The sequence below is a fragment of the Homo sapiens genome, chromosome 19, assembly GCF_000001405.40.
Source record: "Homo sapiens chromosome 19, GRCh38.p14 Primary Assembly".
Lineage (NCBI taxonomy): Eukaryota > Metazoa > Chordata > Mammalia > Primates > Hominidae > Homo > Homo sapiens.
The window spans coordinates 49,324,586-49,335,405 of NC_000019.10; the positions used below are offsets into that span (position 1 = coordinate 49,324,586).

The window sequence follows — 10,820 nt, forward strand, 5'->3', positions numbered from 1 at the left end:
AGAAATGCCCATTCCCCTCACATTACCTCCTTCCCTGGAACTATAACCTCCAGAAAAGGAAAATAAGGAGCTGGTGTCCCATTTCTGCAAAAAGCAGAAAATAACTGCCCTAACAGACCAGTGATGGGGCTAGACCCGGGTTTCTGCCACTCGGGCACTTGACACTGATGGCTTTCCCCAAAGGCAGGGACTGATGGCCGAATCCTGTCAAGGAATTGGCTCAAACTCGGACTGGATGAGTGAGGAGAGCCGAAGACAGTTTCCTCTGTCCTACGTGGGGGGTAAAGGAGGGACCCCTTTGATCCCTCAGCTCCACAGAGCCCAGGGCAACCAGGAGGCTCCCAGCCAGTCACCTGTCACCCGTCAGTGGAGCCCAGTGGGCCCGGGCCTCGAAAATGGCGCCCAGCCCCACACACCCCAGATGTGGGAACATTTTAGGGCTCCCTGGGCCGTGACCCTCACCCTAGCCCCAAGGCTTCTGCCAGGTTCTTCAGTCCAGCCAGTCGGACAAAAATGAGGGTGAAGAAGCCCCAGCTGAGAAGCCTAGCAATCTCCTCAGGCCCCTTCAGGCGTCGACAGATCGGTTTGGGCGACACCCCTCGATCTGCCTGGCGCGCGGCCTTTCCCGCCGATTCTCTGCGCATGCGCCGCCGCGCCCCCTCACTCTTTCCCTACAGCTGTAGCAAACACTGTAACCACTTCGCCCTCCCCAACTCCCTGCTCTCTCCCCACACGCACGCACGTGTGCACATCCTCTGACTGCTCACGCGCCACTCCCTTCCCCACCGCACCCCACCCCGACACCCACGATGCCACGCTTCAGGCGGGGCTCTAAGACAAGGCCTTTCTCTGGCACATGCACTTTGCTTCCACTTCATGTAAGGAAGAAGAGGGTAGGAAGTGGGAGAATCGTCTCATTCATTCCTTCTAGCCTTCAAACCTTTCGCATTTACTTAAAGATCGCCTACTAGAAACCAAACCTTAAATATGCGTCCAACAAGGCAGACAGGGACGTTGCCTTAAGAGAGCTCAGAAGCCTACTAGGGCTGCAGACAAGAATTAAAAACTCAAAGATTTACTTAGGTCATCCGTTCTCATACTTTCCGGTCTCTTAAGAATTATTAAGGACTCCAATAATTTATGAGTTACATTTATATGGGTTGTATGTTTATGTGAGTTGTATCTATCAATATTAAAATAAATTTCTAAAATAGTCATTGTTTAAAAATTCATTATGTGTCAAAATAACATTTTTATTTAAAATAACTATAATTTCTACTCCAAAAGAAATTTTGGCGCTGGGCGCGGTGGCTGACGCCTGTAATCCCAGCACTTTGGGAGGCCAAGGCGGGTGGATCACGAGGTCAGGAGTTCGAGACTAGCTTGGCCAACATGATGAAACCCCGTCTCTACTAAAAGTCAAAAAAAAAAAAAATTAGCCGGGCGTGGTGGCACACACCTGTAATCCCAGCTACTCGGGAGCCTGAGGCAGGAGAATCGTTGGAACCCAGGAGGCAGAGGTTGCAATGAGCCGAGATTTTGCCACTGCACTCCAGCCTAGACAACAGAGCAAGACTCCGTCTCAAAAAAAAAAAGGAAAAAAAAGAAAAAATTTGGGGAGAAGAATGGCATCATTTTACATTTTTGCAAATCTCTCTAATGTCTGGCTTCATAGAAGACAGCTGGATTCTCATATCTGCTTCTGCACTGAGTGTGTCAAAATAGCTCATGTCTTGTAGCTTCTGGCAAACATCACTATATTCAAAGAGGAAATGAAAGTGAAAGGCAAATAATATCTTAGTAGTATTATGAAAATAATGTTCACCTCATGGACCCCCAAAAGTGTTTCAAGAGCCCCCAGGAGTCCCTGAGCCACACTTTGAGAATGAAAGGCTTAAATTGTTATGATTGAACAAAGAGATGAAGAGGAAATTTTGGGGGTGCTGTAAGAATTCATCACAATCTTTGGGAATCATTCAATCTTTCAACACGTATTTATCGAGAGTCTACTAAATGCTAGGAACTGGGAATAGTGTAGAGAACAAAACAGACCCCATTCCTGCCCTCGTTTTGCTTCACACAACAAGAAAACAGATATATGATGAATCTCAAATAATTACATGATTATAAATTGTATTAAGTGCTATGACAGGCCGGGCATGGTGGCTCACGCCTGTAATCCCAGCACTTTGGGAGGCCAAGGTGGGCGGATCACATGAGGCCAGGAGTTCAAGACCAGCCTGGCCAACATGGTGAAACCCCATCTCTACTAAAAATACAAAAACGAGCCAGGTGTGGTGGTGCACGCCTGTAATCCCAGCTACTCGGGTGGCTGAGGCACAAGAATCACTTAAAACCATGAGGCAGAAGTTGCAGTAAGCCAAGATCACACTACTACACTCCAGCCTGGGTGATGGGGTAAGACCCTGTCTCAAGGAAAAAAAAAAAAGTGCTGCGACAGAAAAGGGCCACAGACCTATTTATTTCTATCGAATTTTTTTTTTTTTTGAGACAATCTCACTTTGTCACCCAGGCTGAAGTGCAGTGGCATAATCTCGGCTCACTGCAACCTCTGCCTCCCGGGTTCAAGCAATTCTCCCTGCCTCAGCCTTCCGAGTAGCTGGGGTTGCAGGTGCCTGCCATTACGCCTGGTTAATTTTCATATTTTTAGTAGAGTCAGGGTTTAGTAGAGTCAGCCTGCCATGTTGGCCAGGCTGGTCTTGAACTCCTGACCTCAGGTGATCCGCCCGCCTCAGCCTCCCAAAGTGCTGGGATTACAGGCGTGAGCCACTGCGCCCGGCCCATAGACCTAATTTAGAAGGAGGATTTCTCTAAGGAAATAACACTGGAGTTGAGGCTTAAAGGATTATTTGCTAGGTGAAAAATGTGTGTGAACATCTCAAGCCTTGAGGCTGTGCAAAGGCCCTGAGGCAGGGCAAACTGTGTGTTCAAGGCACCAGGAAAAGTCTCAGTCGGTCAATAAATATTTATTGAATGATGTGCCCCACACTGTCCTAGACCCCTGGGATATAGTTATGAAAAAGATTTTACGTTCCAGTTGCACAAAGAAAGTAAATGCCTAAATAGAAAGAATTTCAGAGAGTAAGAGTGCTGATAGGGAGTTACTTTAGACAGGGTAGTCAAGAAGGACTCTTGGGGAAAGTGATATTTCAGCAGAGAGCTGAAGGAAGGGAGCCTTGTGAACAGCATAGGGAAGAACATTCCAGGCAAAGAAAATGGCAACAGCAAAAGCCTTGAGGCAAGAAGTACACTTGATGGGTTCTGGAAATGGCAAAGAGTCTGATATGAATGGATCCCAGTGATTGAGGAAAGGGTAGCAACAGATCAGATCAGAGCAGTGGCAGGGGCCAGAGTATTATTTGGAGGCCCTTATAGGTCATGGTCGGAATTTTTTTCTTTTTTTTCTGGGTGAGATGAAAGCTATTTGAGGGTTCTGAGTCAAGGAGTGACTTTCATTTTAATGGCAGGCTCCCCCTGGCTTCTGGGCAGAGAATAGCATGTATGGGTGTATTCCTCTGTTTTCACACTGCTGTAAAGAACTGCTCAAGACTGGGTAATTTACGAAGAAAAGAGGTTTAATTGACTCACAGTTCAGCTTGGCTGGGGAGGCCTCAGGAAACTTACAATCATGGCAGAAGGCAAAGGGGAAAAAAGGCACCTTCTTCACAAGCAAAGGAGGGAAGAGCCCCTTATAAAACCATCAGATCTCATGAGAACTCACTCACTATCACAAAAACAGCCTGGGGAAACCACCCCCATGATTCAGTTACCTCCACCTGGTCTCTCCTTTGACACATGGGGATTATGAAGATTATAATTCAAGATGAGATTTTGGGTGGGGACACAGCCAAATCATAGCAATGGGCTAAAGATAGAAGCAGAGAGCCCAGTGAGGAGGAAATCTCTAGTCCAGGCAAGTGATGGTGTTGATTAGATCTGGGTAATAGCAATGGAGATGGTGAAAAGTGGTCAAATTCTGGATCTATTTCAAGAATAGAGCCGACATGATGTGTTGATGGATTGTGTGGTGGTTTTAAAATACGTCTGCAAATTCTTCAACACTTTGAAAGATAAAGTCTATTTCCCCAATCTTTGAGTGCAGGCTCTCCTTAGCAACTGGCTTCCAATGAACATAAGTAATGGTGGGGAACTTCAGGACTAGGTCATAAAAAGCATTGCTGTTTCTTACTTGCCCATTCCCTTCAACTGATTTCTGTAAAGGAAGCCAGTCACCATACGGTGAGGACACTCAAGCAATCTGTGAAGAGATCCATATAAGAGAAGAGCTGAAATTTCCTGCCAGCAACCAGCACCAGGTGAGTGAACCATGGTGAAGTGGATCCTCCAGCCGTAGTTAAATCTCCAGATGACTACAGCCCCAGCCAACATCTTGACTGCAACCTCATAAAACACTGTGAGCAGAAATCATCCAACTAAGCTGCTCCCAGATTCCTGACCCACAAAAACTACAGTAGGTAAGAAATGTTTATTGTGTTTTTTTTTTGAGATAGAGTCCTGCTCTGTTGCCCAGGCTGCAGTGCAGTGGTGCGATCTCAGCTCACCACAACCTCCGCCTCCCAGGTTCAAGCAATTCTCCTGCCTCAGCCTCCCGAGTAGCTGGGACTACAGGTGGGACCACATCCAGCTAATTTTTGTATTTTTAGTAGAGACGGGGTTTCACTATGTTGGTCAGGCTGGTCTCGAACTCCTGACCTCGTAATCTGCCTGCCTCAGCCTCCCAAAGTGCTGGGATTACAGTGAGCCACCGCTCCTGGCCTAAGAAATGTTTATTGTTTTAAACTGCTAAATTTGGGGTAATTTGTTACAGAGCATTAGAAAACTAATGGTGATTAGGTTTGGGGTCTGAGAGAAAGAGAGGAATCAAGAATGACTCAGCCGGGAGCGGTGGCTTGCACCTGTAGTCCCAGCACTTTGCAAGGGCGAGGTGGGAGGATTGCTTGAGGCTAGGAGTTTGATAGTAGGATACTAGCCTGGGCAACATAGCAAGGCCTTGTCTTTTTTTTTTTTTTTTTTTTTTTTTGAGACAGTCTAGTCTCGCTCTGTCGCCCAGGCTGGAGTGCAGTGGTGCGATCTCCACTCACTGCAAGCTCTGCCTCCCAGGTTCACACCATTCTCCTGCCTCAGCCTCCCGAATAGCTGGGACTACAGGCGCCCGCCACTACGCCTGGCTAATTTTTTGTATTTTTAGTAGAGACGGGGGTTTCACTGTGTTAGCCAGGATGGTCTCGATCTCCTGAACTCGTGATCCGCCCGCCTCGGCCTCCCAAAGTGCTGGGATTACAGGCGTGAGCCACCGTGCCCAGCCCGGCCTTGTCTCTTAAAGGAAAGAAAAGTGTTTTTTAATAGCCAGGTGTGGTGGCACGCATCTGTTGTCCCAGCTACTCAGGAGGCTGAGTGGGAAGATCACTTGAGCCCAGGAGATTGAGGCTGCAATGAGTCATGATCGTGCCAGTGCCCTCCCACTTGTGTGACAGAGCAAGACCTCAAAAAAAAAAAAAAGACTCCAAAACTTTGGGCCTGAAGAATTGGAAGATGGAGTGACAATTTACTGAAAAGGAAAGTACTGGAGTGTGCAGGAGGTGGGAGGGAATCAATAGTTTCGTTTTGGGCGTGTTAAGTTTGAGATGTCAATTATACAGCCAAAGGCAGAGGTTAAGTTGTCCTTCACTGCAAGGAGACCTGGGAAATGAATCTTCCTGAGTCCGCAGTTCAGGGGAAAGTTTGAGGCTAGGCATATAAATTGGTAAGTCAACAGTATTGTAGATTGCGATGAACACTATGGCACTGCATGATATCATCTCGTGAGTGAGTGTAGCTAGAAAGGGCTAGGACTCCCCAAATTTTAGAAGCTAGAAAAAGGACGATCCAATGAAGATTGAGGAGAACCAGCCAGTGAAGAAGGAAGGAGGAAAAGCAAGAGGGAATTTGCCAGTAAAGGAGGAGGGGATCAGGTGAATTCAATGGGTAGAATTGCTGTTCTCAAACGTTAGTGCACATCAGTCACCAGGAAGGCTTGTTAAAACACAGACTGCCAGGCCAGGTGCAGTGGCTTGCCTGTAATCCCAGGACTTTGGGAGGCCAAGGTGGGCAGATCACCTGAGGTCAGGAGTTCAAGACCAGCCTGGCCAACATGGTGAAACCCTGTCTCTACTAAAAATACAAAAATTAGCTGGGCATGATGGTGGGTGTCTGTAATCCCAGCTACTCAGGAGGCTGAGGCGGGAGAATCGCTTGAACCCGGGAAGCAGAGGTTGCAGTGAGCCGAGGTTGTGCCATTGCACTCCAGCCTGGGCAATAGAGTGAGACAAAAAAAAAACACAAAAAAAAAAACAGATTGCCAGGCCCGCCCCCAGAGTTTCTGATTGAGCAGGTATATTCGCTTCCCGAGACTGCTGTATAAATTACTACAAACTTGGTGGCTTAAAGCAACAAAAATATATTATCTCACAGTTCTGGATGCCAAAAGTCCGAAATTAAGGTGTCAGCACGCCACTTCCTTCAAAGGCTCAGAGGACAATCCTTCCTTGACTCTTCAGTTTCTGGTAGCTCCTGGTGTTCCACTTTTTTTTCCCCTGTAGGGTCTTGCTCTGTCATCCAGGCTGGAGTGCAGTGGTGCAATCACGGCTCACTGCAACTTCGATCTCCCAGGCTCAAGCAGTCCTCCCACCTCAGCCTCCTGAGTAGCTGGGACTGTAGGTACATACCACAAAGCCCAGCTAATTTTTTTGTTAATTTTTGTAGACAGGGTCTCACTATGTTGCCCAGGCTGGTCTCGAACTCCTGGGCTCATGTGATCCTCCTGCCTCAGCCTCCCAAAGTGCTGGAATTACAGGCATGAGCCACCTCACCTGGCCCATAATAATGTTTTGATATATATAGTGTATGCAGTAACAGGTATTCTATTTGTAGTTGTTAGGATGTTTAAGGTTAGCTGATTTAACAAACAACCGTAAAATCTTAGTAGCTTAATACAACAGGTTGTTACTTACATAAAGTCCAAAATGCTTTATGTAAGTCCAAGGATAATTCTCAGCTTCCTGCAGCCAGTGAGTGAAGGGAGAAAGAGTAAGGATTATGGAGGACATTTCAGGCTGAGTCTAGAAATGGGCTGTGTCCCTTCTGCACCCATTCCATTGGCCCAAGACCAGTCACATGGCCTCAACTTCACTGCAAGGAGACCTGGGAAATGAAGTCCTCCTGTGTGCCTAGGAAAGAAGAAACCAAGTTGGTGAGCATCAAAGCTGCAGTGAGCCGTGATTGCACCACTGCACTCTGCCACCTACCCTTCGACTTCTGGTTAATCATGTACTCATCTCTGAGGAGGGATCAGTGGGTGGGAAGGAGGGATTGGTGTATTAGTCTCCTATGGCTGAAATAGCAAATTACCACAGACTTACTACTTAGAACAACAGAAATGTATTCTCACATGGTTCTGTAGGCCAGAAGTCCAAAATCAAGGTGTCACCAGGGCCACACTCCCTCCAGAGGCTCTGAGAGAAAATCAGTTCTTTGCATCTTCCATCTCCTGGTGGCTCCAGGAGTTCCTTGGCTTGTGGCTGTAGAACTCCAATTTCTGTGTCTACCATCACATGGTGCTCTCCTCTTCTGTGTCTTCTCCTCTGTGTGTTTCTTAGAAGGACACTTGTCAGCCGGGTGCGGTGGCTCACGCCTGTAATCCCAGAACTTTGGGAAGCTGAAGTGGGTGGATCACGAGGTCAGGAATTCAAGACCAGCCTGGCCAAGATGGTGAAACCCCATCTCTACTAAAAATACTAAAATCAGCTGGGTGTGCTGGCAGGCGCCTGCCTGTAATCACATTTACTCGGGAGGCTGAGGCAGAGAATTGCTTGAACCTGGGAGGCGGAGGTTGCAGTGAGCCGAGATCACACCACAGCACTCCAGCCTGGGTGACAGAGCGAGGCTCTGTCTCAAAAACAAAAACAAAAAACAGACACTTGTCATCAGATTTAGGGGTCACACAGATAATGCAGTATCTTGAGATCCTGAATGTAATTATACCCGCAAAACCCTTTTTTCCAAATAAGGTCACCACAAGTTCTGGGGATTAGGACATAGACATATCTTTTTGGAGAACGCCATGCAACCCACTATAATCAGCTATAATTATTTTTGTAGAAAATGATGGGAACCTGACTTAGGATGGTGGCCTTGGAAAGAAGTGGCTGGGTTTGCAATGTACTTTAATGGTAGAGCAGAGAGGCGTTGGTGGTGGTTAGAAACAGAAGCTGAGGGGCTGGGCGCAGTGGCTTACACCTGTAATGTCAGCACTTTGGGAGGCCAAGGCAGTTGGATCACTTGAGGTCAGGAGTTCAACACCAGCCTGGCCAACATGGTGAAACCCTGTCTGTACTAAAAATACAAAAATTAGTCAGGTATGGTGGTGCATGCCTGTAATCCCAGCTACTCTGGAGGCTGAGACAGGAGAATTGCTTGAACGCAGGAGGCAGAGGTTGCAGTGAGCCATAATCGTGCCACTGCACTCCAGCCTGGTCAACAGAGTGAGACTCCATCTCAAAACAAACAAACAACAACAACAACAAAAACCTGGGTGTGGTGGCTCATGCCTGTAATCCCAGCACTTGGGGAGGCCGAGGTGAGCGGATCACTTGAGGTCAGGAGTTCGAGGTCAGCCTGGCCAACATGGTGAAACCCCGTCTCTACCAAAAATACAAAAATTAGCCGGGCGTAGTGGGTCATGCCTGTAATCCCAGCTACTTGGGAGAATGAGGCAGGAGAATCGCTTGAACCCAGGAGGCGGAGGTTGCAGTCAGCTGATTGCACCACTGTACTCCAGCCTGGGCGAAGAGTGAGACTCTGTCTCAACAACCACCAAAAAAATAAAAGCTGAGGGATGAGGCAGGTGGTGACTCAGCGTTTGGATACAGAACTGTGTGGCTCAGGACTGGGTTTCAAAAAGACCCCTCTGGGGCTATGTGGGGGACAGACTGGAGGGAGAAACTAGAAGCCAGGGAGAAGCCTAAAGTCAGGGTCCAGGTAGGAGAGCAGGAGCCCAGAGCCTGCCTGAGCCCTCAGGACAGAGAAGAGGGGTGGAGTGGAGACTCAGCAGGCAGGAGGGATCTGGCTAAGAGACTGATGCGCTGTTGGGGAAGAGGGGACAAGATGGAGCTTTGACCTCATGACTAGATAGATGGTGGGGCTGCCTCAGATGAGGAAACCAGGTGAGAGAATTTGGGGACATCAGAGGAAACTGCAGAGGCCACTGGGTGTGCACCTGCAACCAGGCACTGCAGACCCAGATCTGACTGTCAGGATCCCAGGCTCAGTGCCTCCTCCTCTGGGGCCTCCGCTCCTCGGGCCCCACTGCAGAGGCAGGAAGTACCGCCTGATGCTCAGCTTCCGCTGGGGGTGTTGGCACGGCCCAGCGCCCTCCCCACTCCCAGGGACCTTCCCACCTCGAGCCTGTAGCACTTTCACTTCCCCAGGTACCCAGCCCCTGCCCCCAGCACCTGGGTGCTCCCTGGTCCAGAACAGGCTGCAGACTCTGAGAGGCACAAAAACAAGTGGGGAAGGGGGAGACAGAGAAAAGAAGACAGGCTGGGCACAGTGGCTCACGCCCATAATCCCAGCACTTTAGGAGGCCAAGGCAGGAGGATCACTTGAGCCCAGAAATTTGAGACCAGCCTAGGCAACACAGTGAGACTCCCATCTCTACAAAAAATGAAGAAAATTAGCCAGGCATGGTGGTGTGCACCTGTAGTCCCAGCTACTTGGGAGGCTGAGGTGCAAGGATTGCTCGAGCCTGGGAAGGTTGGGGCTGCAGTGAGCTATGATCGCACTACTGCATTCCAGCCTGGGCGACCCTGTCTCAAAAACAAAAACAAAAGAGAGATGAAGAGAGAAAGGAGGAAGGACCCAAAGAAGGGGCCAGAAGCAGAGAGAGGCCAGGCACAGTGGCTCACGCCTGTAATCCCAACACTTTGGGAGGCCAAGGCAGGAGGGTCGCTTGAGTCCAGGAGTTCCAGACCAGCCTGGGCAACCTAGTGAGACCCTATCTCTGTTTTTTTTTAATTAAATATAAAAAATACAACACTCCCACTCCATAGCAAGACCCCATTTCTACAAAAAATACAAAAATTAGCCAGGCATGGTAGTGTGCACCTGTAATCCCAGCTACTCAGAAGGCAGAGGTGGGAGGATAGCTTGAGCCCAGGCTACAGTGAGCTGTTTTCCCCACCGTACTCCAGCCTGGGTGAAAAGTGAGACCCTGTCTCAAAAAGAAACAAATATATAAATAAAATAAAGAAACACAGAGAGAGGGAGGATAGAGACCCCAGGAGGCAGGAGGACAGAGACCCAGAGGAGGGAGAGACTCTGCTGAGATAAGGGGACAGAGATGGGGAGTAGCAGGAAGGTGGGGACAAAGACCCAGAGAGGAGGAACAAGAGACCCAGGGCAGGAAATGGGAGACACAGCTGGATGCAGAGATGGGAGAGCTTAGCAGGCCATGAGGTCAGAGTGTCTGTGAGGTCAGCTGCTGTCCAGGGTCAGCCCTGAGGTCCCCATGCCCAGAGGTGGGTTCCAGTAGATCAGGGGTCCCTTTAGATCCCCCAGCGCCTGAGACATGGAGACCTGGGAGGGACTGCCCCATGAGTCCTTGGTGCCCACAAATTCCAAGGCCCCTCAGGTACCAGAGCATGTGTCCCAGTGGAGCAGGTGAGGGAGACAGGGACAGAGAGAGAGACAGAAAGCCACCTTACATGAAGCGGGAGTGGGTGGAGCCCCACCCCTGGAACTTC

The 10,820-nt window shown here is 48.9% G+C and overlaps 1 protein-coding gene across 10 annotated transcripts in view, besides 5 other annotated features; it reads right to left on the bottom strand.

Moving 5' to 3' along the window:
* Positions 1-10,820, bottom strand: part of SLC6A16 (solute carrier family 6 member 16) — a 50,693-nt gene that overhangs the window by 34,948 nt on the left and 4,925 nt on the right. For 5 of the 10 annotated variants that reach the window (XM_047438704.1, XM_011526859.4, NM_014037.3 and 2 more), the window contains exon 1: positions 463-606. The exons of 1 other annotated variant lie outside the window; for it this stretch is intronic. Coding sequence is in view for 3 of the 9 variants with exons in the window: in XM_047438702.1 (XP_047294658.1) it covers positions 7,032-7,127 (96 nt within the window). In the remaining 6 variants the exon portion in view is untranslated. Of the gene's footprint in view, positions 1-462; positions 607-6,490; positions 6,677-7,031; positions 7,248-7,468; positions 7,736-10,820 lie in introns of those variants that run through there. 4 more of the 10 variants (XM_011526860.3, XM_047438701.1, XM_047438702.1 and 1 more) reach the window with 3 other exon arrangements.
* Positions 1,770-1,919: an enhancer, noted in NCBI's record as "active region_14931". NCBI's record gives its function as "activates an Ori minimal core promoter by ATAC-STARR-seq in GM12878 lymphoblastoid cells {active_cell/tissue: GM12878}" and the evidence as "EXISTENCE:reporter gene assay evidence [ECO:0000049][PMID:35858748]".
* Positions 2,713-2,864: a silencer, noted in NCBI's record as "fragment chr19:49830555-49830706 (GRCh37/hg19 assembly coordinates)". NCBI's record gives its function as "represses an EF-1alpha promoter that drives an FKBP-Casp9 reporter gene in an ReSE screen in HepG2 liver carcinoma cells and K562 erythroleukemia cells {active_cell/tissue: HepG2 | K562}" and the evidence as "EXISTENCE:reporter gene assay evidence [ECO:0000049][PMID:32094911]".
* Positions 8,896-8,975: an enhancer, noted in NCBI's record as "active region_14932". NCBI's record gives its function as "activates an Ori minimal core promoter by ATAC-STARR-seq in GM12878 lymphoblastoid cells {active_cell/tissue: GM12878}" and the evidence as "EXISTENCE:reporter gene assay evidence [ECO:0000049][PMID:35858748]".
* Positions 9,246-9,515: an enhancer, noted in NCBI's record as "active region_14933". NCBI's record gives its function as "activates an Ori minimal core promoter by ATAC-STARR-seq in GM12878 lymphoblastoid cells {active_cell/tissue: GM12878}" and the evidence as "EXISTENCE:reporter gene assay evidence [ECO:0000049][PMID:35858748]".
* Positions 10,372-10,441: an enhancer, noted in NCBI's record as "active region_14934". NCBI's record gives its function as "activates an Ori minimal core promoter by ATAC-STARR-seq in GM12878 lymphoblastoid cells {active_cell/tissue: GM12878}" and the evidence as "EXISTENCE:reporter gene assay evidence [ECO:0000049][PMID:35858748]".